The sequence below is a fragment of the Homo sapiens genome, chromosome 7 (genome assembly GCF_000001405.40).
Source record: "Homo sapiens chromosome 7, GRCh38.p14 Primary Assembly".
NCBI lineage: Eukaryota > Metazoa > Chordata > Mammalia > Primates > Hominidae > Homo > Homo sapiens.
In genome coordinates, this window is record NC_000007.14 from 47,794,434 (window position 1) to 47,820,495 (window position 26,062).

General features: G+C 46.0%; 1 protein-coding gene and 1 long non-coding RNA gene across 4 annotated transcripts in view; one reads left to right on the forward strand and one right to left on the reverse strand.

The window, feature by feature from the left end:
* Window positions 1-26,062, reverse strand: part of PKD1L1 (polycystin 1 like 1, transient receptor potential channel interacting) — a 186,293-nt gene that overhangs the window by 19,820 nt on the left and 140,411 nt on the right. For both annotated transcript variants that reach the window (XM_017011798.3, NM_138295.5), the window contains 9 exons: window positions 20,901-21,024; window positions 19,498-19,581; window positions 18,688-18,860; window positions 17,384-17,618; window positions 15,040-15,144; window positions 13,814-13,954; window positions 8,777-8,911; window positions 6,216-6,446; window positions 1,556-1,717 (listed from right to left, as the gene is read on the reverse strand). In XM_017011798.3, the coding sequence (XP_016867287.1) occupies window positions 1,556-1,717; window positions 6,216-6,446; window positions 8,777-8,911; window positions 13,814-13,954; window positions 15,040-15,144; window positions 17,384-17,618; window positions 18,688-18,860; window positions 19,498-19,581; window positions 20,901-21,024 (1,390 nt within the window). The remainder of the gene's footprint in view (window positions 1-1,555; window positions 1,718-6,215; window positions 6,447-8,776; window positions 8,912-13,813; window positions 13,955-15,039; window positions 15,145-17,383; window positions 17,619-18,687; window positions 18,861-19,497; window positions 19,582-20,900; window positions 21,025-26,062) is intronic.
* Window positions 858-25,414, forward strand: PKD1L1-AS1 (PKD1L1 antisense RNA 1). Of its 2 annotated transcripts, NR_161269.1 has the most exons (4): window positions 858-1,010; window positions 18,993-19,136; window positions 23,593-23,762; window positions 25,074-25,414. It is a non-coding gene; the product is annotated as a PKD1L1 antisense RNA 1 (long non-coding RNA). The 2 variants fall into 2 exon arrangements; NR_161268.1 differs by lacking the exon at window positions 18,993-19,136.

Here is a 26,062-nt window from a genome sequence, read left to right on the forward strand (position 1 = left end):
TTGGCAGCTTCCATGTGGTATTGAGCCTATGGGTGCACAGAAGTCAAGAATTGAGGTTTAGGAACCTCAGCCTAGATTTCAGAAGATGTATGGAAATGCCTGGATACCCAGGCAAAAGTTTTCTGCAGGGGCGGGGCCCTTATGGAGAACTGCTAGGGCAGTGTGGAAGGGACCTAGTGGAGCTGTGAGAAGAGGGCCACCATCCTCCAGACTCCAGAATGGTGGATCCTCTGACAACTTGCACTGTGCACCTGGAAAAGCCACAGACACTCAATGCCAGCCCATGAAAGCAGCCAGGAAGGAGGCTGTACCCTGCAAAGCTACAGGGGCAGAGCTGCCCAAGACCATGGGAACCCACCTCTGGCATCAGCATCACCTACATGTGAGCCCTGGAATCAAAGGAGATCATTTTGGAGCTTTAAAATTTGATTGACCTGTTGGATTTTGGACTGGTATGGGGCCTGTAACCCCTTGGTTTTGGCCAATTTCTCCCATTTGGAACAGTTGTATTTACCCAATCCCTGTACCCCCATTGTATCTAGGAAGTAACTAACTTATTTTTTATTTTACAGGCTCATAGGTGGAAGGGACTTGCCTTGTCTCAGATGACACTTTGGACTGTGGACTTTTGGGTTAATGCTAAAATGAGTTAAGACTTTGGGGGACTTTTGGGAAGGCATAATTGGTTTTGAAATGTGAGGACATGAGATTTGGAGGGGGCCAGGAGCAGAATGATATTGTTTGGCTGTGTCCCTATTCAAATCTCAACTAGAATTATATCTCCCAGAATTCCCACATGTTGTGGGAGGGACCTAGTGGGAGGTAATTGAATCATAGGGGCTGGTCTTTCTCATGCTATTCTTGTGATAGTGAAGAAGTCTCACAAGATCTGATCATTTATAATGGGTTTCCACTTTTGCATCTGGATCATTTTTCTCTTGCCACCACCATGTAAGAAGTGCCTTTCACCTCCCACCATGAACCTGAGGCCTCCCAAGTCATGTGGAAATGTAAGTCCAATTAAACTTCTTTTTGTTCCCAGTTTTGGGTATGTCTTTATCAGCAGTATGAAAACAAACTAATATATCAGCCATGAAGAAAGTGAGTATTCAGTGTGCAAACGCCTGGTTTGATTTGTTTACATGCATGTCTGGGGTGACTGAACTCAAGTAATGCACCTAAGGCTCTATGTTTTGGATAGAAGTTTGGGTTTGATAGCAGGCACCAAAAGCAAATGACTAACTCAGGGGACAGAATACAGCATGTCTGTGTCCTGGGGAAGACCATAAACTCTGTCTTTCCAACTGTACAGGTCACTATAAGGATATAGTGAGTTAAGGCAGGAGAATGTGCTTGGTAATCTGTAAAGTGTTTTAGAATTGCACGGGAAAATTCCATGAGTTCCACTATGATTGAGACTAATTTTGTGGCTTTGCAAGGAGATTTGGCATGGAAACATACTCATGCTTTGATAACTGAAAGCAAAATTCTGCAATGAAACCATCATCTTGAGTGTGTGCTATCATGCTCAGTAATCCAAGATCTCACAGCTTACGTGATTCTCAACCATCTCAGCCTCTTCCAACTTTGGTGTTTCCAGTCTCAGAAAGGTGAGGACCTTTTCCCACATATAAGCAGTGACATCTTTAAGTCTCACAAAAGATTTACTTTGAAAAGATTTTCTTTTTTGGGGTAAAGTCATGAGAAAACCTCTCAGCTAGGAAAAAGAAAAAAATAAAGACAAATTTCATGTTAGCAGCCTAAATAAAGAGCTTTGTTAACGTGATAAACTATGCAATGGAGATTATATCTGATGATGCTACTTTACGAGCTTTTGGTAAAATAGTGATTTCTTGGTGAAAAAAAGCAAAATCAGGAAAATACCTCTCCTGAATTGAACTAAATGGCAGTAAGATGATCTCAGCAATGGAAATTCATTGTATTATAAAGGTTGTTTTCAGTATCTAACTTTGGAGACTGAGATTATCAACGCGATGTGCATGCCCATATGTAAAGTCTGTGTCTCAGTTTCAGTGTCCCCTGGTGAACCATTCTGAGCTGTGGGTGAGCCTCAGGAGAGAGGCCTGTGCCTGTGCCTGGGAGACCAGAAAGGGTCTTGGGCTCAGCAAGTTGTTGTGCCCTCAACATGTGCTCTATAAGCCTCCAGGTGGTTTATTTCTTCACTGCAGGCTGTAAGCTGTTAGCTCAAAAGCCTACTGGTAACAAACTCGAATTTTTACACATCCAATTGTTTAAAAAATAACCCAAACAGGGCTGGGCGCAGTGGCTCATGCCTGTAATCCCAGCACTTTGGGAGGCCAAGGCAGGCGGATCATGAGGTCAGGAGATTGAAACCATCCTGGCTAACATGGTGAAACCCTGTCTCTCCTAAATTACAAAAAAAAAAAAAAAAAAAATTAGCTGGGTGTGGTGGTGGGCACCTGTAGTCCCAGCTACTCGGGAGGCTGAGGCAGAAGAATGGCGTGAATCCGGGAGGCGGAGCTTGCAGTGAGCAGAGATTGCGCCACTGCACTCCAGCCTGGGCGACAGAGCAAGACTCCGTCTCAAAAAAAAAAAAAAAAACACCCAAACAAACATTTTAGCCATTTAGAGCCTGTCAGCTTTACACACCCTGCAAAACCTCAGGGGACAGCTGTTACCCACTGATAATGTTATAAGGCCCCAAGCTGCTGCTGGCTTCAGGAGCTTTCTGACCCAGAGCCTCCCCTCCATGCTGCTAAGCAGCATCGTCTAAGGGGTAAGCTCTCTCTCTGCTGCCCCTCTCCCCTGAGATCGCCCTTGCTCTTCTTCCTTTTTGGATGGTTCTTGGCCCCTACGCTGTAAACCTGTGGACAGTTTCATAGCATGAAGTATGAGGGAGTTCCCCCACATGGAAACACTTCAAAACATTACCCAGATAAAGCTTGTGTGTGTTATCATCTCTTGTGGTCATATGTTTGTTCTTGATTGGTCCCCAAATCCCTCGAACCCCTCACAAAATTTCAGAACTCTGCAAAGATGCTCAGGAGCCTGAAAGGGTAGGCCATTGGTGTGTAGGTCTGAGGCCTCCTGGATTTACCAGCAACACACCCATGGCAGACAGCAAGACCTGACTCTTCCACCCAGAGACCTCAATGCAATATTGCCTGCCTGTCTCAGAAGATAGCATCCAGGTGCCTAAGCACGACATTCAAGGCCCTCCATTCCTGACTCCAACCATCCTTTTCAACATAATGCCCACTTGACCCAGAACTCCAGCATGGCCCTCCCTGCATGCCCCCTGTCTAAAATGCTGCTCTCAGCAGTCATCACCATGAGTGGAACTGCTCATCAAGGCTCACTCTCCTGTTGTATGAAGATTTCCTGGTCTCCCTAGGAAGAATAAATGAGTCTCTGATCTAAGTTTCTTGCTCTTTGAGGACACTTCTAGTTAGGCTTTAAAATTGCCTATCATTGTGTAGGATCTGTATGCTGAGAACTATAAAACAGTGATGAAAAAAATCAAAGAGTATCTAAATAAATGGAGAGAAATACAGAATTCTAGGATCAAAAAAGCTTAATATTATTAGGATGCCAATTCCCCCCAAATTTGATTTATAATTCCACAGCAAGTTCAATCAAAACACCAACATGATTTTTTAAAAAGATAGTAACAAGATGATTCTAAAACATATTGAAAGGCAAAAGAGCTAGAACACCTACAGTCAAAACAGAACAAAGCTGGAGGACTCATCCATGCTACTTTAAGATTTGCCACAGAGTGAAAAAGACCTCATGGGATTGGCTAAAGGAAAGATCAATGGAGTAGAATAGAGAACCCAGATATAGATCCACACAGATACAGTCAATTGCTTTTTGACAAAGTTGTAAAGCCAATTCAATGGAGTAAATATTCTTCAAAAAAATTGTGCTGGAAAAATTGGATATTCATTTATAAAAAACAGGAACTCTGTTCCATACCTCACATCTTACATTAAAATTAGCTTAAAACAGATGATTAACCTAAATGTAAAACATAGAACTATAAAAATTCTAGAAGAAAGGCCACGTGCAGTGGCTCACGTCTGTAATCCCAGCACTTTGGGAGGCTGAGGCGGGAGGATCACGAGGTCAGGAGTTCGAGACCAGCCTTACCAACATGACGAAACCCTGTCTCTACTAAAAATACAAAATTAGCTGGGTGTGGTGGCACACGCCTGTAATCCCAGCTACTCAGGAGACTGAGGCAGGAGAATCACTTGAACCTGGGAGACAGAGGTTGCAGTGATCTGAGATCACGCCACTGCACTCCAGCCTGGGCGACAGAGTGAGACTCTGTCTCAAAAAAAAAAAACAAAAAAACCAAAAACAAAGAAACAAAAAAAATTCTAGAAGAAAATAATAGGAGAAAATATGTGACCTTGGGTTTGGCAATTCATTTGAGCCAGGACACCAACAGCAAAATCCATAAAAGAAAACATTGAAAAACTGGCCTTTATCAAAATTTACAACTTCTGCTCTGTAGAGATGCTGTTAAGAGAATAAAAGGAGAAGCTACAGATTTACAAATCACATATCCAATTTAAAAACTGTATTCAAAATATAAAAATTGCCACAATTATTTGTATATGCCAGTCTTCCCCTATGGACTGTGAGCTCCCTGAGGCAGGAAGCAGTTATTATCTTTGTTTCGCCATTGCCTGAATATAATGGGCATTCTTTAGTTTTTTGTTGAATGAGTGAGTGCATGAATGAACAAATGAGTGGATTGATGGATGGATGGGTGGGTGGATAGGTGGACAGGTAACTAGTTTGGTGAGTAGGTGTGTGGATGGGTGATCGATGGATTTATGCATTCATGGATGAGCAAGAGTAGGGAGCTAGGATCATTGATAAAAGCAAAGGACTCGGGCCTGAGTGTTGTCAAGGTGTGAACATGAGCAATCACTTTTAGTTTCCCTCTAGCTACTAAACTAGAATACCAGTAGACTTTTAAGGACTGCAGAGAATTTTTATCCACTTACAAAGCTTGAATATTAAATTTACTGAACTTGCAGTGGGCTCTACAATGTGTCAGGAACTACTACCCTAGAAGGCAGGCACACCAATATGCCTGCTAGGAATGTGGCTAGAGTTCAAAAGCAGACAAAAACCAATAGCACAAGACAATGGGTGCAATGAGGAGGCATGCTCAGAGCCTTTGGGGGTCCAGGGGAGAATCGGTGCTGGGAGAGCTTCTAGAGGGAACACCACATTGACCCTGTCTTAGAACTTAACGCTGAACGAGTCACAGTGGAGGGATCCGAGGGAAGGCATGTTCAGTAAGTGTGGACAGCATGCCTATAGGCTTAGTCAAGCACAGAGCAGGGGTCCCAACCCTGAGCCTTCCATAGGAACACCTGTAGGGCCTTCTGGAAATAGAAGTGATGAGTCCCACCCTTGTGATGTGGGCATAGCAATCCTGGGTCTGGCTGGGCAGAGCAGGTCGGAGCCTCGGCAGGGAGGGGTAAAATATAAGACACTCAGTAACATTTTAATTTCAGGTCAACAACAAATAACTTTTAACATAAATATGTCTGAACTGCTGCAGGGGGCTTACTAATACTGAAAACTTTTCCATTGTTTACTGAAACTTAACTGTAACTGGGTTCCAGTTTTATTTGCTAAATCTGTTGACCCCAAGTCCAGGCAATAGGACAAGACCATGGGGGAGACTCTTCTTCCACTGAAGGAGTTTAAGCCATGTATGACATGACTAGATTTGCCAGTGGCAGGTCAGTAGGAGGGCGTGAAACAGGGAGCCATTCCTCCTTCAGCCGCTAGCCTGGAGAACACGTCCAGTGGAGGTGGCTGATGGGAGTGCAACTCTGATAAGATGGAAAGACTGAGAAAAGGCAACAGATACCCCTGAGGCAGTGTGAGATTGCAGATGAAGTTCACAGTAAGAAATGATGTGATTCAGTGCAGAGTGAGGGGGGCCAGGGAAGCTTCCTGGAGGAAGTGGCACCCTGGGGTGGCTGCTCTCGTGCTGGACTATTCTAGAGTAAGGGAGAGTCAAACCAACTGTGTTTGACGGACCTGACCTCCCAGGGCAGGTGAGCTGGACGGCAGGGATTCATTACCATGAGATCTGGCCTGTGTTGCCTGGCCCTGTCCACATGGACCAGAGTTTCACCCCAACAGCAAATGAAACTTTTACAAACCATAACTTGAAAGTTGGGGATGTGTTTACTTACCATTCCAAAACACAGTGTGGCAGAGACTATTAAAAGGATCCCAAAGTAACAAGCCATGGCCCGCTGGTCAGACTTGGAAAGGCCAAGGAGGCAGTCTTTTTGGCTTCTTCTGGGAAAATGAAACAGCAGCCCGGGGAAGGCGTCTGTGAAGGTGCCAGGTGGTAGAACCCACATAGAGAGCAGAAATCGGTGCAGGTGGGAGAGGGCGGCCAGCATCAGTGCCCCCACCAGCTGCAGAAAGAAAATCCAGAGAGCACTGACCTTGTCACCTCTTCTTAGGAGTGGAAGACTCAACTTCCAAATGTTGAAAATAGAGACAAACTTGGAGGGGCAGTTTTGGGAGTGTGGATCAATCATGTCATCCCTGGTTTTGAACCCAAAAGGCGTATGTCACCCTCTCACCCATCTCCCAGGCCTCCCTCCTCCCACCCCACCAGCCTCCCACACTGTGGCTGGTCTCCCTCCTCCCTTTCAAGGGCTCTTCCTGCCAGTGCCCTCTCCTCTCCTCAGCTGCCTCCTCTGCCTATGGTGACAAGCGGCCTGCTCCCCTGGCCTTTGGCCCCCTTAGGAAGCCATGGTTGCCATGAGGGGGCAGCTCCCTCATGATCTTTATGTCCCCCGCACCTGGCCAGAGCTTAGTAAAATAAATCACTTAGGAAGCATCAGGAAGGCTTTCCAATTTTGATGTAGATTTGGTTCAGGTTAAGTTTCATGGTCCTGGTTGTCGTAACAGACTGGGAACTTGGCCTGGGATCTGAGGGGTTGTATCACTGGCTCCGTTCATGCTTCTCACTCCATCTGCTCCAACCAGCCCTGGTGCTGACAAGTATTTTTTCAGCCTGGATGTCAGACCATCAGGCGGTCGTCCCATAGGTCCACATGGGGCTGTGTGTGTAGACTGTGGACGGGCCTACAGAGAGGCCCTACCTAGCTGCAGCTATAGTCATGGGCTGCATTCTGTGTGGGTGCTTGCTGGATTCATGTACAAGCCTGGACAGGTACCCAAAGACTTCCCTACAAATGCACTAGGACTCGTTTTAGTATTACTTACTCCATAAGTGAAATCAGACATCAGTGGAACTCAGAAGAAAGAAAGCACAATCTATGAGTCTACAACTGGACAAATTGAGCTGTGTGGTCTCCCGGTCTCCCCTTGATGCCTATGCATCTATACTTGCTGCACAGTTAGAATTCTGCTACTTAATTTGGACACAAATTATTTATATTCTGGGCTTTTTTTTCCTTACATAAAAGCATTTTTGGCTGGGCGTGGTGGCTCATGCCTGTAATCCCAGCACTTTGGGAGGCCGAGGCGGGCGGATCACGAGGTCAGGAGATCGAGACCATCCTGGCTAACACGGTGAAACACCGTCTCTACTAAAAATACAAAAAATTAGCCACACATGGTGGTGTGTGCCTGTAGTCCCAGCTACTCGGGAGGCTGAGGCAGAAGAATGGCATGAACCCGGGAGGCGGAGCTTTGCAGTGAGCCGAGATTGCACCACTGCCCTCCAGCCTGGGTGACAGAGCGAGACTCTATCTCAAAAAAAAAAAAAAAAAAAGCAGTTTTGCATGTTGCTAAATGGTCTTAATAATGACTAGTTTAATCACTCCATAAATTCTACATGCATATAATCTCAAAGGCCAGTAGTAACCTTCGGGGCAAATGTCGTTAATGCTTTTTCTGGAGGCAGAGGTTGGGCAAATGGCTGGTGCTCGCAACAGTGAGCTGGAGTGTGGGACAGCCAGGTTCAAATGCTGCTCTCTCTGACTCTCAGGTTCGTTCTCTCTGCCCTGGTTTGCTCAGCATGTTCCTCCAGTGTAAGGTGAATAGGGCTTGCAGAACCCCTTCCCTGGAGCAGGAGACCTGTGCTTGGTGTCCTGTGTGGCTTGGATCCTGACAGCCAGAGCCTCCTAACTCAGGGCACTTGGCCTAGACTTTCCCTCAGCCCTGATTGCAATTCTTTGCTGTACTAGGGCCTGTCAGGTTGGAGAAAGCTCTTTCTCTGCTGGGACCAGATCGGAATCAACAGCACCCCAGGAACTTCATCAGGGCTCCAAGCTGTACTCTGTACCTGTTGATTCGGAGCTTCACCCTCCAGACCAGACTTCAGGGCTAGCCCTGGATGAAGACTTGGCTGTGCCCTGTTGTTTGAGACAGGAAATCCTGAGAATCTTCTAAGAAGAACTGTGCCTGTCCATAGCTTGGTTGTGATAGTTAAACGAAGTAATCTATGAGAGGCCCAAAGTGCCATTCCTGGCACTTAGAGAAAGCTCAGTAGGTGATAATAACTACTTATATTAGTAATAATAACATGCTGTTGTAAGGTATAGTACAGAGCAAGTGTTTCCTAAATCATGGTTATTGTTGTCATGACCATAACTTACTATGTAACTATTGATATCAGTTATCTAAAACCACACTGTAAGGGATTAGAAGACTGGAATTCTAGACGGTGTTTAACCTTGAGAGCAGTTTGTTTTTCCCTTGAGAAAGGCTGACGAGTACACAGATCAATGGTTTACAAGGGAAATCACCTGATAAAGGGGAGAGTTCTTACCCCTGCTACAAAGATGCTGGGGAGTGAGTGGCGCATCATGGAGGAGCAGGATGCCATTGTGTTTTGAATGCCAGGAAGATAGACGCATTTTAATGTGAAGAGGAATAAGAGGATTCCCCGGAGCCATCGAGCCCTCTGAGACAGAAGAACATAACAGTCAGTGTGCCATGCCAGTCACTGAAAGGTGCAGACATATTCACAGCTGTCAGTCATGCATAAAGAGTTCATTGGATTTGATGATGTTATATAGACCCATGAGTCTCCGAGGGACATCAAGTGCAGATGTCTGCAGAGGAGAATGAGTTGGAACTAGGGGTAAATACAAATCGTAACGCATTTTGAGAAGACCTGCTCTGAATTCTGGCCTGGCCATTTCTTTGAACACCAGGATGGAGCAGGTCTAGCAGGCACACACAGATGGGACTCTGTCCACCCCACGTCTGTTCTCCCTGTCTGCGCCTCAGTCTACTGGGCTATAAGAAAATCATCACCACAGAGGGGACTCAAAGAAGTATTTAGTGCATGCTTATTTCCTTTCCCCCAGATACATGTACAGAATAGGGCACCAACACTTTCCAAGTAGGTTTTTAAAAACGTAATCCTTGCAAATACGGGAGGCACTCCACTTTATATCTCTAGAGTCTACGGCTCAGATAAACAGTGTGAACAGACAAACATAGTACAACTGGGGGGCATGGCAGACCCAGGGGCAAACAGCCTTATGGACTCGTCCACATTCACAAGGCCTCTAGGAAGGCTGCTCCCTTCTCCCCTCCCTACCAGGGGCTTATGGGGAAAGTACTTTTGGGTGTATGATCTCATATGCTCTCACCAAAATTATAAGCCCAAGAGAAAAGAAATGACAGCTGGATGGTTTAAAATCTATATGGGCAATGAATCAAGGTTTTCTGTTTGTTTTATTTCCTCAGTAATTGGGACAAAGTCAACAATGACTTCTGACAACCAAAACCTAGAGAAGCTGTGAGTGGCTGTCACCCCTCGGGTTCCCTTCAGAGCAGGCAGGGCCGCACATGGTTGAATGGGGGATGAATGGGGCTTTAGCCAGCACCGGCCAAGAAAAATGCAATGCAAGCTATGGGTAGAATTTTCTAGTAGCCATGTTTTAAAAAGTATAATTAAACAGAGTAAATTTGTTTTATAATATATTTTGTTTAAAATAGTACATGTAAAATCATAAAAAATAGCATCATGTCAATATGTAACCAACATAAAAATTATTGAGATATTTTACATTTTTAATTTTTTTTTTTTTTTTTTTTGAGAGAGAGTCTCAATCTGTTACCCAGGCTTGAGTGGCAGGATCTCGGCTCACTGCAACCTCCGCCTCCTGGTGAGTTCAAGCAATTCTCCTGTCTCAGCCTACCGAGTAGCTGGGGCTACAGGCACATGCCACCATAGTGGCTATTATTATTATTTTTATTTTTTTTGCATTTTAATAGAGACAGCATTTCACCATGTTGCTCAGGCTGGTCTTGAACTTCTGAACTCAGGCAATCTGTCAGCCTTGGCCTCCCAAAATGCTAGGATTATAGGCGTGAGCCACCACGCCCAGCACATTTTTAATTTTCATACTAAGTTTATGAAGTCCAGTGAGTATTTTACACTCACAGCACATCTCAGTTTGGACTAGCCACATTTGAAGTTCTCAATAGCCATGTGTGGCTAGTGGTGACTATTGGACAACACGGCTATAAACCTCCTGTGGACAGAGTGGAAGGGCCGCTTTCTTGCCTCCATCTGATTGAGGGATGCCATAAAGCCTTCTGAGTAATTGCCATTATTATGACTTTCATTTATGGAACATCTGCTAGGTGCCAAGCTGTTCCAAGGATATGTTTGAATGTGCCTGTACAAATACACACACACACACACACACACACACACACACACATTCAAATCCTAGCAAAACCCCCAAGGTATGTATCATAGTTCTACCTTATTAAGACTTGAAGAAAGTTAAGAAACTTGCCCAATGGCACATGGTCAAAGAGGAGCTGGGAGTGAGTTTTAGGTCTGCTGATTCTAAAGCCTGTGCATTTTCATTTTCACACACTCAAATCATAGTTCTTTAATCCTGGGTGTTAAATTCCATCATTAGAAAGTCATTTGTGTTTATCTTGAAGATGACTCGTTCTTCCTGCACCTGGGATGCAGCCTACATTGAAGTTAGAGCTAAATTCCTCTAACTGTCTCTACAGAGAATAATTTGACAAACAGCACAACAGGTGCCCACAGAAGTGGAATTAGGAGGGAAAGCCGTAGTGTGGGCAGAGGCCAAGGTGCCAGAACAGAGACGGGTACATGAGGGCACCTCAGAAGACAAACATGGTCTACACTGCACATTTCTGAAAAGCTGGCCCTGAACACACAGCAACACAGCAACAGAGCTGAATGGTGTGAGATACAGGTTCCTGCCTTGAGCACTCCTGGGTCAGGACAATGTGGACCATGTCCTTGGAGGGCCGTTCCATTGCATTATAGTTCTGTGCTTAGGAATGCAGTTACCCAGGACCCCAAGACCAGAGGCCAATTCCAGTGCAGCTCCTATATCAATGTGAGTGACCTTGAGCCAGTTGCTTAACCTTTCAGAGCCTCGGTCTAGATGGGTGGCATACTAGTACCTGTTTCATTAGATGGTTGGATAGCTCAACATACACGTGATTATATAGAATTTATGCAGTGCCTGGCAGGAGCTAACCTCAATACATGTCAGCTCTTCTCAGAAGCTAATTGAGGAATTGGAAATTGGCATCTGCCCTAGAAAGGATCCCCAGGGAAGAGGGGCTCTCCCCAGGTAAGTTTTTCTGGCAGGGGCAGGGAACATAATGAGAAAGATAGGACATCAGTGGGGAAAAGGGATATAAGGATGAACTCACTTCCCAAGGTCAGAAGTCAGGAGGAGGCTATTTACTGCAAGTCACCAGGTCAGTATGTAGACCAGATTCATGTTTGCCCTAGTCATGCTTCTAGAAAACCTCCCCTGTCCGCATCAGGTGAAAAGAACATCCTACATTCACTCTGCCCCCTATTCCTGAGGCCCACACCTGCTGGCCAATCAGTGACTAATCAGATGCTCTTGTAAGCTGTGCACTGAGAGACAGAAAGCTGGCCGCTATCTGTGGGCCTTTAAGCACAGGCAAGGGAGTGTCAGGCATGTCGGCATTGTAGCCCACAGGACCATGCAAGACTACAGTTACATGGGTAAGCCAGAACTCAAATAGTAGGAAGCGGGTTGACTAGCAGAGCTATACTATAAAAGGTAGACCAGGAAGCCTGCTGTCTGTCCCAGAGAGAGATGCCAATAAATTAAGCAGCCAGTCCTCATCGGGCCCTAATATTGGTACCAGGGGAGCAGTAGTGAACAAAATAGATACATTCTCTATTCTGCAGTTTCCAGCCTTGTGGGGGAAGACAGTAAACCAAATAATTGCTTAATGCAGATTTCATTAGATGCTGATAAGTGCCTGCAGAACAGGTCCCTGGTTGGCCTTGGCCAGCCCAGCTCTTCCCCTTTTATTGCTTATAGTTCTCACAATAACTGTTGAATGTGCTAGGAATGCAATATCCGGAGATAAGGAGGAACTACATGGAAGAGCGTGGGCTCTGGTCATGTTCCTCCAAGAAGAGGATGCCCTCTAACACTTTAGCACAGCATGTTATGTTCCCCCAGCTTATGAAACTTCAGGGCAGGCAGCTTTCCAGGCTCTCTGAACTGGTGCAAGCGGGACACACACAGACAGGATTCTGTCGGGACACACACAGACGGGACTCTGTCGGGACACACACAGACGGGACTCTGTCCACCCTGGTCAGCTTTCCTGAGGTGGGGGCACTGGCTCACCATGCAGCCCAGGCTTCTGCTGTCCCTGCCAATCTGTGAGTGACAGTTGCTTTGCCTTGCTTGTGCGAGTGTTCTGTCTCATCAGATTCATGTATTCTTTCACTTCAGGAGAAAAGCCAAATCTTCTGCTTGGGCTCCTTTAGAACCTGTTTCTTTCCTCTAGCCTAGGGAGTTTCTCTTGCTTGCAACAAAATGATCTCCAACAAAGAGGCAGGGACTGGGGCACTGGTGGAGGAAGCAGAAGTGTAGAGGAAACGAGCCTCATCCTGCCTGGTTCTCCTTACACAGCGGACAGGAGCCAAGGGGTGAGAGGGAGGTTGTGGGGCAGATGAATGGACCTGGGGAGAAGGGGCCTGAAGATGGAGGGGAACTGGCCCTTGTTCTCTAGGTTGCTATAGGACTCACCCAGCCCTGGGGGTGGCCCTGGGGCCCTGACCACCCTCTAGATGGGAAAAGGAGGACAAGGGGGTTAGGGAGGGGCTAGATCTGAGGGCAGCAGGGCAAGGAGGCAGAGTATGTGGGCTCATCTTCCACCACCACAGGAAGGCAGCGTCCCATGCTGTTGTGGGGGGATCCTGCCCCATCTCATCAGCCCCCTCCCCAGGGCTCGTCCAGGCCCATCTGTGCACATTTGCCTGGTCCTCCTGGTAGGAGCCCCCATCCCTGTGGGGAACCATTCCCTGCAGGAAGGGCTGCCTAGGGGAAGGAGGTACAGGGACTTTGAAACCAGACTTCTCTCTATTGAGGGACCTGATACTCTGTGAGCTTTGGTGTCTTCACTTGCAGAGTGGCTAATACTGCCTGCATTTATGACTGTCGCCAGAATGAAGAGAGAAAATGGTGTGTCTAAGCAAGTCAGCGCTAGCCTCCTTCCTCCATGCTGCATCAACACCTGCTTCCTGTGCCCCTTAGCGTCCCCTGGAGGCACTGGGGGAATTCCAGGCTCTTGAGTTCTGCTCCACGCAGAATCCACATACCCCAGTGTTCAAAGCATGTCTCAAGCTCTTCAGGCCCTTCACTGTCCTGGCCACTCCCATCTGCCAGCTCAGAGCATCATCTCTCGATATCAAACAAATCTGTTGTCTCGCACCTTCTAGAGTTTGTGTGACCTCTGCCTTTTGGATGGCATCACAGTGCATGGCCTCTATCTGCATGGCCCTGAGCACACCGTGTACCTGATTCCATGATGCCATAAGGGTGAGGTCCATAAATGCTCGGCAAAGTCCTCTGTGAAACTGGTTAGTGACATCTCCAGCAAGAGTAACAAGGTGGCCGGAAACTGCATAGTAGGTGAGGCTCACTCCAACCACGGAGAGCTGGAACATCCAAGAGAAAGGCCCTCAGATGGCTCCTGAGGAAGGGCTTACCTGGCACCCCATGTGACACGCGTTTGTAAGTTACAGTCATGAGTCACTTAACTACAGGGATGCCTTCTGAGAAATGCATCGCTGGGTGATTTTGTCCTTGGGGGAACATTATAGGGTGCACTTATGCAAACATAGACAGTCCCACACACCTAGGCTATATGAGACAGCCTATTGTTCCCAGGCTACAACCCTGTGCAGCGTGTTCCTGTACTGAATACTGAGGCAATCATACACAATGGTAAGTGCTGGTGTATCTAACTATATCTAAGCATCGAAAAGATACAGTAAAAATACAGTACAAAAGGTAAAAAATGATCCACCTGTATCAGCACTTACGATGAATGGCACTTGCAGGACCAGAAGTGGCTCTGGGTGAGGCACTGAGTGAGTGGTGAGTGAATGTGAAGCCCTAGAGCATTACTGTACGCTAATGTAGACTTTATAAATGCTGCACACTTAGGCTACACTAAATTTGTAAACACGTTTTTCTTTCTTCAGTAATAAATTAACCTTAGCTTACTGTAACCCTTTTACTTAAAAATCTTTTAATTTTTTTAAACTTTTTGACTCTATGATAACACAGCTTAAAACACAAATGCACTGTACAGCTGTACAAAAAATATTTTCCTTATATCCTAATTCCAAAAGTTTTTTCTATTTTTAAAAATTTTGTTTTAATTTTTTATTTTTAAACTTCTTTATTAAAAGCTAAGATACAAACAGACATATTTAGCCTAGGCCTACATACAAGGTCAGAATCAAGATGTCATTAGGTGACAGAAATTTCTTAGCACCATAAGATCTTATGGGACCACCACCTTGGCTGAAATTCGTGTGGTACATGACGGTAACTGTAACAACACTAAATGATACCTGATCTCAAATGCTGTTTTGAGATTAACACTACAGAGGGAGAAAACTGCAATAATGTTGGCAGTAGCTAGTGCATAATCAATTTCTTATTTAAATTATTTTTTCAAGATATAAACAGTTTATTGTTATTTTTCAAAAGAAAATGACACAAGAGAGGCTACCTCCAGCCAGTTCCTTGGCTTTCGCCAGTAGCTGAGGACGCCCTTGTCCATCATACGGTAGAGTTGAACACAGAGGTGGATCAGGCTGAGTGCCAGGAAGACCAGCTGGTGGAGAGAATGTAAACAAACAAGATCAATAGGAATGCTGATAAATTGTTTTTTGAAGGTCTAAACATGTGACCAGCTCCCCTGCCAATCACCTTTGAGTAGCTAGGATGCAAGCCCATTTCCTGTTCTGCAGAGGTTTAATCCTAAACTTGCTCTTCAGTAGGCACTTGGGGTGTTTGGTGCCTCTCCACAAGTCAAGCACTCACAGAAACTCCATGCCAGGGGTTAGAACCCAAGATGGTCTCTGCACTCAGGGAAAGCACGGAGTATGGGCATCTACGGCCACCAGGCCTCCCGACCTCCATGCTGATCCTCCAGTCCTTCCTTGGCACTGCTCAAAAGAGTGAGTTTCTGTGTACATGTGAAATAGATAACATATGAACTATATATACATATATATACTAGTTTTCTCAGCCAAGTAAAGTCTTCTAAAGCTCCCTTATAAGCACTTTCTTAAAGTTCTCTATGTGATTCTCTCTCCAGTGGTGAGTTACCTGTTGATTCATGCCTTTAATCACTAACCCAAACTCAAATTTAGTTATGGATTTGCAAGGAACTGAAGCACATCAGCAGGGCTTTATGCATCTTCTCTGTCCTCTGTTGGAGTTATGTGCATTGTGTCCCATTGGCCCGCTGTAAGGAGCTACACACATAATCAAAGCAGGGTTCACTTTTGGGTGCTGCAAGGTGTTTAACAGCAGTGCTGTGCTGAGCCTTATTGGAGCCTGAGGCAAAGAAACTATCAGGAAAACTGATCCTGCCATTGCTTACAATTTCCATATTTTGTCCAATATGATTTTTTGATATGAATTCTGATGTTTATAAATATTGCACCAGAATACTGTTCACCTTGATTACCAAGTATTTGTGGTGCCCCTTAAATTTGATGCCCAAGGTAAGTACTTTATGTGTCTCCCCCAGGCAGACCCTGACCAGTGGCCCATGCTCCCACCCTCCATTGCGCCCACACCAGCGCGAGCTGAGCTCTACACAAATCTCAGCCTTTACCGGGTCACTGAACAGTCCCTAGAGTCTAAAACCTCTTGGGACTCCCCTCTCTTCACTGCTAAAGCAAAGTAACCTTGACCTGAAGAGTCAGCAGGACTTAGTTCTTCATAGCAGAAAAGTCAACTACAGGCAGAAAATCAGGAAAGTTCCCAAGGAATAACTCAGAGTGACTTCTGGTGTTTTGGATTGTTCAGTGAAGCTATGTGGACATATTCCATCTCACCAAGACCCTGGGTACTGTGGACTGAAGATTTGTGTTCCCTTGAATTCACAGGTGGAAGCCCTAACTCCTAGTGTGGATATATGTGGGGATGGGGCTCCTAAGGAAGTAATCAAGGTTAACTGGGGCTCTGGTCCTATAGGATTAGTGTCCTTACACAAAGAGACTCTAGACAGCTCTCTCTTGCTCTCTTTCCCTGTGTATACCCACAAAGAAGAGGTTCTGTGAGCACACCGTGAGAAGGCGGCCATCTCCCAGGACTAGAGACCTCGCCAGAACCTCACCAGGCTTGATCTTGATCATGGAATTCCAGCCTCTGGGAGTGTGGGAAGTAAATGTCTCCTTCTTTTTTTTTTTTTTTTTTAGACGGAGTCTTGCTCTGTTGCCCAGGCTGGAGTGCAGTGGCGCAATCTCAGCTCACTGCAACCTCCGCCTCCCAGGTTCAAGAAATTCTCCCGCCTTCAGCCTCCCAAGTAGTTGGGATTACAGGTGCATGCCACCATGCCCGGCTAATTTTTGTATTTTTTCAGTAGAGATGGGTTTTCACCATGTTGGCCAGGCCGGTGTTGAACTCCTGACCTTGTGATCCGCCCACCTCGGCCTCCCAAAGTGCTGAGATTACAGGCATAAGCCACCGCGCCTGGCCATAAATGTCTCTTTTTAAAGCACCCAGTGTAGGCTATTCTGTTACAGCAGCCTGAGCTAAATCCCTGGGGGGATCTAAACATCAGGCCCAATTCCCCCGTGATGAATTTGGTACCTCAAGACAGCTCTATATTTGCCCTTGCCACACATGTGAAGATTGGTTTCCCCACTGGGGGTCTTCTTCGTCTCATGCCCCAACCCTTAGTGTGATGCTTGCTGCAAGAAGGGGATGTGACAAAGAGTGTGACCGGAGGGGCAGGTGAATGGGTAGGGAACTAGTCCTGTCTGGTGGAGAAGCCCAGCCCAGGTGAAGCCCCATCTTCCTGTGCACCTCCAGGAGGCCCAAGAGGCAGGTCAGCTCACCTGGGGAAGCATGAGGTGGTACTGCAGGGCTGAGTCGCTGCGGAAGATGCTGAATGACTCCACCAGGGATGAGGGGACGAGACTCCCCGTAGGGAGGATCTCCACTCTCAGGGACACGCTGGTGAAGAGTTGGGTTGGAGGGTTATAGAGAGTGAAGTGCACAGACACAGCCCTGGTGCTGCGGTCAATCCACATGCTGGCCCTGAGTCGGGACAGGGCTGTGTGGGCTTCAGTCCTGTAAAACAGCACACACTGGGGTAGGGCAGGGCAGGGAGAAAGGCACAGAAGTCTACTGAGGCTCCCAGCTGCAGGTCCCATGCTGGGAACACCCTATGCTAGACTTTGCAAGGACACACAGTGCCTGGGCTTCAAGGGGCAGGACAGATGGCCCTCTGTATCTAAGAGACCTCATCAATAGCCCTCTGTCCTCTCTCCTTGCCCCACCCTCTTCCCTGCAGCAGCCCAGGGGACCCTCAGGCAGGAGGGACCTGGAGAACGGAGGCCTCCATTTCCCACCCCAACCCATGTGAGGCAGAGATGTCCACTCTCTCTCCCCAGGGACTCTAGAATATTCATTGTTCTTTTTTTTTCTAGAGACCCCACTGTTTGGAACAAACAAGCTGGGAGAAGGCAGTTACTAAATACTAACTCGTATTTAGTAACAATTAAATCATTTCCTTTTTAAAGAGTATTACTCAAAGGCTCACATTATTGTAACTGTCTAGACCTCCCCGTTGCTCTAAGACCATCCGTGTTACCACTGGGTCAGCACAGCTCCAACCCAGTGTGAGGTGCATGCTGCTTGGGGAGCCACGGGTGGCTGTGGACAACAGTGTGACTGGCTGGATGGGGCAGGCGGCCTGACCTCAGACCTAGCTGCAACATGGGGTCGTGCTTGTTACGCACTTGAACCTCCACCCCTCACCCTCAGGACATGGGAAAAGTAGCACAGGGCCTATTCCACAGAGCTAGGTGAGGATTAAATGAGACAGTAAACACCCAGCTTGGCACAAGGTCAGCATGCAACAAATGCTCCTTATATTCCATGAGCTACAGATGTTCTAGCAACCACTTTTTGAAAGAACGTTTGCTCTGTGCTCTCCCACGTGGAGGCCTGAGCCTGTGTGATGCTTCTATCATTCACAACAATGACAAGTCTGGCTGGAGCCCCTGGCAGTGGTGCGCTGACCTCGCAGGCCTGTCAGGAGGCTGCACCTGCTGCAGATGCGCTGCGTCCAGCAGGCACCAGAGCTGGAGTGGCGGTGGCAGGCAGGATGAGCCCCGGCCCTTCGAATCTCACTGACCTTGTTCTGCCCAGGCTGAGCACACAGTCCTCCCTTGTCCCACAGCCCCCAGGACCATTCAGGGTCACGTTTTGGTTCTCTGGGTCTATCAGGTAGGGGTTCTCAGGGCCTCCAACTTCGGGACTACATGTAGGAATAGAGTCTTCGATGAGTGCTGAAAATGGCCTGGGAGGCTGCAGAACAAACCAGCAGTCAGAAGACACAGATACTATTCCCAAGGCTACCCTGCAATCCGGGGTCTCCAGGCCTGGCCACATGTGAACACCTGCTCTGTCCTGCAACATGGCACCCTTCTCTCCTCATAGGATCGTTCTGCAGCCTGTTTCGTGGTCTACAGACTCTAGCTCAAGCTACAGGATCAAGGTTCTACCCACAGAAGGTTGGCATCTGAGCTGTGTATGGTTCTAAGGCTTAGACCACTTGAAGACTTCCCCATCATGAGATGCCAGGTAAAATGCCTGTCTCAGGGCATACCCTCCCCATTAGAAAAAGATATGTGAATATTCTATTTTTAGATTGTTTGATTAAAAATCCTAGTTTTGCCTAGAATGCCAGTCTCTAAGGCCAAAGAGTGAATTGAAGAAACCTGCAGCAGAACGTCAAGGAAGAAAGAGGCTTTGGGAAAGTGTTCATAAAGGGGAAGGAAGGAAGGGCGAGGCTCGCCCTCTCCCCAGCCCCGGCACTGACAATTCCAATTACCACTGAACTCACAGAGAAGTTCAAATGATCTGCCAGGGTCCTGCCCCAATGTTGCCTAGACTTCTCTAATTCCATTTATTCTTGGAAGCAAAAGGAAAAGGAACATCTTACCTTGCATAAATGCCTAGGAAAAACTTTTAGCTGCCTAATTACGGAACTGCCTATTAGGTAGCATTTTCCTCCAAGAGCTCCAGGCTGAAAGGAGAAAAAAGATGATGAGGACTGGGTGTGCTGTGGACTTCAAACCTCCTCATCAAGCGTGCTCAAAAGGCGTGGGGCTCTGGGTAACTCCACCTGCTACCATAGAGGTCAGAGTTTTATTTTCCTTCCAATACCATTTTAGGGATACAACCAACATTCTAAGAAGGCAGCAACAACCTCCCCAGACTTGTCCTGGAAAAGGGTTAACGTTCAAATGGTGTTCGTAACTTTCGTCACATGAGAATGCTCTCTTTTATCTTTTTTGAAAGTTTCTCCAGTGTCATCAACCCAAGAGACTATATAGAATACAACAAAATAAAATTATAAATAAACTGCTCAAGGAATATGGACAAATATATTTCTCTTTTTTAAATTTAAAGACAGAGAATAGCTCTGTTGCCCAGGCTGGAGTGCAGTGGTGTGACCTGAGCTCACTGCAATCTCCACCCACCGGGTTCAAGCAATTCTCCTGCCTCAGCCTCCCAAGTAGCTAGGATTACAGGCATGTGCCACCACGCGCGGCTAATTTTTGTATTTTTAGTCTGGAGTGCAGTGGCATGATCTTGGCTCACTTCAACCTCCACCTCTCAGGTTCAAGCAATTCTGCCTCAGCCTTGCAAGTAGCTGGGATTATAGGCACGCGCCACCACACACAGCTAACTTTTGTATTTTTAGTAGAGACAGGGTTTCCCCATGTTGGCCAGGCTGGTCTCGAACTCCTGACCTCGTGATCCACCTGCCTCAGCTTCCCAAAGTGCTGGGATTACAGGTGTGAGCCACCGCGCCCAGGATATTTCATTTTTAAACATGGGAAAGGGGTTGAAAATAAAAGCTGAGCAAGGAATGGGATTATGCAAAATGCATATTAACTTTTTCTTCCGAACTTGGGATCAACCTCACCTCTTTCTGGAAGCTTCCTTGCACTTCCTCTGTTTTGGGGTGGTTCTTGTGTTTCCTTGTCAGGGTATTTTGCACACGGAACTAGAATCTTCCATTTCCTGACCTCCCACCCCATCAGCCTGAGGGCTCCTGAGGCTCTGCCATAGCCCTTGTGTCTATCTCAGGCCTGGGAAGCACAGGAATCTGGAGAATCCCGTGCAGCTCAGCAGGGTGTAATGGGATGGGGCCAATGGGTTCTGGCAGGAAAGGAACAGGATGCTCTGCTGGGACCCACTGGAGAGCCACCGGCCTTACACCTGCATGGTCATTCAAGAACCTATGCAGTGCTGCAGTTCAGCATTAGTGACTGTTTCACCCACTGCAAGATAGCTTTTCTGAGATGATCTCCTATGAAGAGGAGACGGAAAGCTCACCTGAGCCCCCGGCACACGGGCTGACGGGGTGCCTCCCGGGTACAGGCCATCCAGAAGTGTGGTCAGACTCCAGTCCCACCAGTCAGCGATGTTTCTCAGGCCACCCAAGCAGTTTCTGGCATTTCTTAATGCAAGAACAAAAATAAAAAGTTGCTTCTGCATCAACAAGAACAATGAAACGTGAGAACAAAAGCATGTTTTCTTGCCAATTTTTCTCTCATTCAGATTTCAGGTACTCTGCAGGAATTAAACTCAAGCTGCTTGCAGCGTGAAGCATGAAACCCTGGAACTCACTTTGCTCCTTAGTAGCAGGAGATAAGAGAGAATGGCGGGTGAAGCACTTGTTCATTTGCTCACTCCATCAGTCACTCAACAAACATTACTATGCAACTACTAGGTGTCAGGCACTCTTCTAGGCACTGGGAAACAGAAAATCAATTCTCTGCCCTCCTATGGGGAAACAGGCAACAAATAAGACAAATAAGCAAACATATACTATGTTGTGACAAATATGAAGGAGGAAAAAAAAAAAGCAGGAAAGACAGGCAAGTGGTGGGGTAAGCAGATGTTCAAGCAGCCATGGAAGCTTCAGTAGGTGGTGATGTCTAGCAAAGACCTGAAGGTGAGGGTGGAGCCCGTGGTCATCTGAGAGAGGGTATTAAAGGCAGAGGGGACGGCGAGGGCTTCCGCAAGCCTGAAGGGTGGGAAGGTGTCGGGGCCACAGGGCTGGTGCAGAGGGAGCGCCGGGGCTAGGGTAAACAAGGGAGGCTCTGGGACACACAGACCAAGACCCAGTCCTCTCTCTGCACTGACTGCCGACTGGGCGCAGCATGTGACTGGCCTCCCAAGATGCCTGTGAGTGGCAGATGTGAAGACATAGATGAAGTGCAGTGTTGGCACAAACACTAGTCTGTTTTCTTTCCAATTAACTTCTTCATTATGTTTATAGATATGCTTCATTTTTCCACCAAGGAACTGATTTAAGGGAGCACTGAAATAACATCAAATGAATGAAATTTATCATTTTTAGTTTGCTCAGACACTGCTATAAAGCCACATGCACAGGCCAAGGCTGTGCATGGCAGCAGCAGGGTGTCCATTTGGCTCTGAGCTACAGCCAGAGGCAAAAGGATAAAATCAAGTGTTCCTACGAGAAAGCAAAGTACCTCTCACCTAACTCTAAAAAACTTTCTCATACATAGCTTCCCATGAAGAGTCACTGAAGAATGGAAAGGATGGGGTGCTCATCAACATGCCCTCAGCAAACAGAAATGGCTCTGATGTGGCTGTTTCATCCAGGTTTCTCTCCACAAAAAGGGGAGACCAAAATAGTTCTCAGGAAAAGGAATTTTGTCATAAGGTGAGAAGAAGTTAGAAAGTCACCCAAGTACACACAGTTGAATGCCTGGTCCAGCACCAGATCCAGACTACTCCAAAGAATGAACACACTATGAATCATTCAGATGATGGCCATGGCTTTGGTAAACGAGGCTTGAGAGCAAAGTTGGGCTGTAGACAGCAGGCCTGGAGCCGACTCTTACTGTGAGAGCCAATTTTGCACAACTCCTCCCAACTCCATGTTCAGTGATGTCACATTGGTGGTGTGAAAGACCATGGTGGTTCCGGGCGTGGTGGCTCATGCCTGTAATCCCAGAACTTTGGGAGGCTGAGGCAGGCATATCATCTGAGGTCAGGAGTTTGAGACCAGCCTAGCCAAAATGATGAGACCCTGTCTCTACTAAAAATACAAAAAATTAGCTGGGCGTGATGGTACGCGCCTGTAATCCCAGCTACTCAGGAAGCAGGAGAATCGCTTGAACCCAGGAGGCAGAGGTTGCAGTGAGTAAAGATCATGCCACTGCACTCCAGCCTCAGTGACAGAGTGAGACTTCATCTAAAACAAACAAACAAACAAACAAAAAAACCATGGTGGGAGGATTTACACCACGGAAATTGGCTGGCAGATGCTATAAATCAGTGCTTTTGTTCTCCAGTTATTAACTGTTTCCAGCACACCACAAAGACTATGTTTACAGGTAAGGTGTAGAACGGACACTCCACTGTTGATTCAGAGCAGATTTTGCAGATAATTTAGAAAAAGTTTTTAAAAACCTGATAGTCATGACAATAATTGGACAATATTAAAAAAATCAAAGACAAATAAATGTCACTAGTGTATAGAGTAATAAAGAGATGCAGTAGCCTCAACCAATAATCTGTATATACTATAAATGTGTTCGAAAATTTCCATATGGCTGGGCACGGTGGCTCAGGCCTATAATCCTAGCACTTTGGAAGGCCGAGGTGAGTAGATCACTTGAGGCCAGGAATTTGAGACCAGCCTGGCCAATATGGCTAAACCCCCGTCTTTACTAAAAACACTAAAATTAGCCAGACATGGTGATGGGCGCCTGTAGTCTCAGCTACTTGGGGGGCTGAGGCAGGAGAATTCCTTGAACCCGGGAGGCAGAGGCTGCAGTGAGCCGAGATCGCGTCACTGCACTCCAGCCTGGGCAACAGAGCAAGGCTCTGTCTCAAAAAAAAAATTTCCATAGCATGTATGAGTAAAAGTCTAGTGAATTAATTTATCTGACTGGTTTTATTTCTTTTTTCTTACGAAGAAATGATCTCTTATCCTTTCAAGTATTTGATCTTCATTGGTTTATACATCTTTAGAACTTAATCTTTGCAGGTCTTTTATTGGGTGCTGGTTCTTAACTCTGGACTTCTCTACAAGTTTTGTCAAACTATCAAATGCAGAGCAAATTGGAGGCCTGCCAGAGCACCCAGAGGGTGGAATGAAGCAACAGAGAGGCATCAGGAAAGGAGAACACAGATGGAGACAGAGATGGGAGGCATAAGGTGAGCAGATACATCTCTGCAAATATTCACGCCAAAGGAAAGGAAGAATGAGCCAGGGGGCACAGAGATGCAGTGAAAAGGGCGGGAGGGTAGGAAAGAGGCAAAGGATGGCTGGAGGTGAATTTTCAACAGAGGAAAGTGTTGAGCATCTGCTGTGGGAAGCAAGATGATTTGACGACAAACATTGTACATTTATAGCAACTAATATGATCCATTTTCTGTGTTTTTAAAGAATAAAGTATAGACATTATAGCCATGTTGAGTTTGCACCACTTTCGGGGAAATGGTATCACTTCTTGACACTTGCTTCCCTATTGGAATAACATTAAGAAACTAAGTTAAAAAGCCCTGAAAATAACCCAAAGCCAAAAGGCCCAATGGCCAGACTGCAGACATCTCACACCTCACTCCTGGCACACCCAAAGTGCAGGTAGTGAACCAAATGAGCCAGGAGTATTCTGGCCCTGTCTGTATTAGTTACCGCAATTATATAAAATAAGCCCACAAAGCTGGCTAAACAATGCAAAAGATAAAATCAGCTGTTATTTTACTTTTATGGCACTTGGATAGAACGCTTGCTTCATTGATTGGTGCTTTATTTGCTGGTTTATTTTTTGTTTTATTATTTTTTTTTGGAACTTCATGAAGTCTTTCATAAGTTCAGAAACACTTCAAATACAACTTAAATATGGCAAAATCCAAGAACGCAATGACTACTCAGTAGTCCAGTTCCCTCCCTTTATAGATGAAGATGCTAAGTCCGAGCACTTGCCAGAGTCACCTGGCAACCAAACATGAGTTGGGGGCCCAGTCTCGGAACTCTGTTTCATCCATTTCCACTCCTGGGCTTATTTAGCTTCTCTATCTGGAATGCTAGTAAATGCCAAACCCTAAGTTGTTGTTGATGTTTCAGGATTAGGTATTGGGGGCTAGGGGGTGAGACGGAGAGGGTCCACTTTAAACATTCCATTACCAACCAGGATACTTGAATATCCCTGCCTGGTGGCCAGAGCACCCAGAGGCAGTGAGGTTTTGCATCCCTATGGGAAACATAAGGTCTATGTAAATCCAGGAGTTGTGAATGTGAGCACATCAATCTCATGTGCACCTGAGAGATCTCACAAACATTATCTCAGCTGCGATATTTCTGATTTGAATATCAAGAAGCAACAATTCATATGAGAAATATGTCAAATAATGTTGACTTGTGAAATGTGAGATGAAAAATAAACTAGCAAAAGCCAGAGGTTTTTCATGTTTAGATTTCCATTTCCATTGAGGACCCAAATTATCACTTTGTTTTGCACACAGCACCACCTACTGGCACAGGCTGTGCACTTGCACGGATAGGAGAGCTGAAAAGTTGGTCATGGATGGAAATAACTGCTGGTTTCACAAATGAGGAGGCAGAAAATTCCACTTAATTTCACTATTACAATGCTCAGCAGAAAAAAAAAAACAAAACAACTTGGATTACTGAGCTACAGAACACCCAGACTCATAGCACTGGGACTTCCAGGTCTTACCTTACGAGTGGGTCACAACACTGACAAAGGGGACAATATCCATTAGCCATTATCTTGCTGCGTATGAATAACCCTCTCTCACAAAAATAAAGATAAATATGTTCTGAAATAATTGATAAGATTAAATTGACTTTCCAGCCACTCACTTCTGCCAAAAAATCCAACCAAAAAGTATTTACGTCAAATTGAATTACTTAGTCAAAGGCAACAAACACACTGATAGAGTTGCTGCATAAATGTGTCTTTAAATATTCACCAGAGTAAATAAGGTAACTCCTGGAACACACTGAATTATTGTATTTACCAGCATTGAAATCATAGCAAAGAACCAATATTATTTCATATCATGCACTTTATAATTCAAAGCCACACTGCCTTGAAAGGACTATCAGACTGACTGTTTGTGGCAGGTGAAAATAAAGCCTAACCATGGATTCAAGAACAACTCTCAAAAAAAAGAAGACTACATTAAATGCACCTGTTGATGACAATATGCATCCCAATTTTAGAAGCACTGAGACATGGAAAAGAAATATGACACAACAAAATGCTATCATGCTTGCCTTTGCCTGGTGGTATCACGGAAATTTTTCTGCTTTACACTTTTCAGTTCTGCTAGATTTACCTATGATCAACATCTACTACTTATAGAAAGAAGGAGGAAGAAGCAAATGAACAGCTTGAGAAATGATCAAGAACTTGAGAGGTGTTAGAAACTGAAGGCCGGGCGTAGTGGCGCACACCTGTAATCCCAGCACTTTGGGAGGCCGAGGC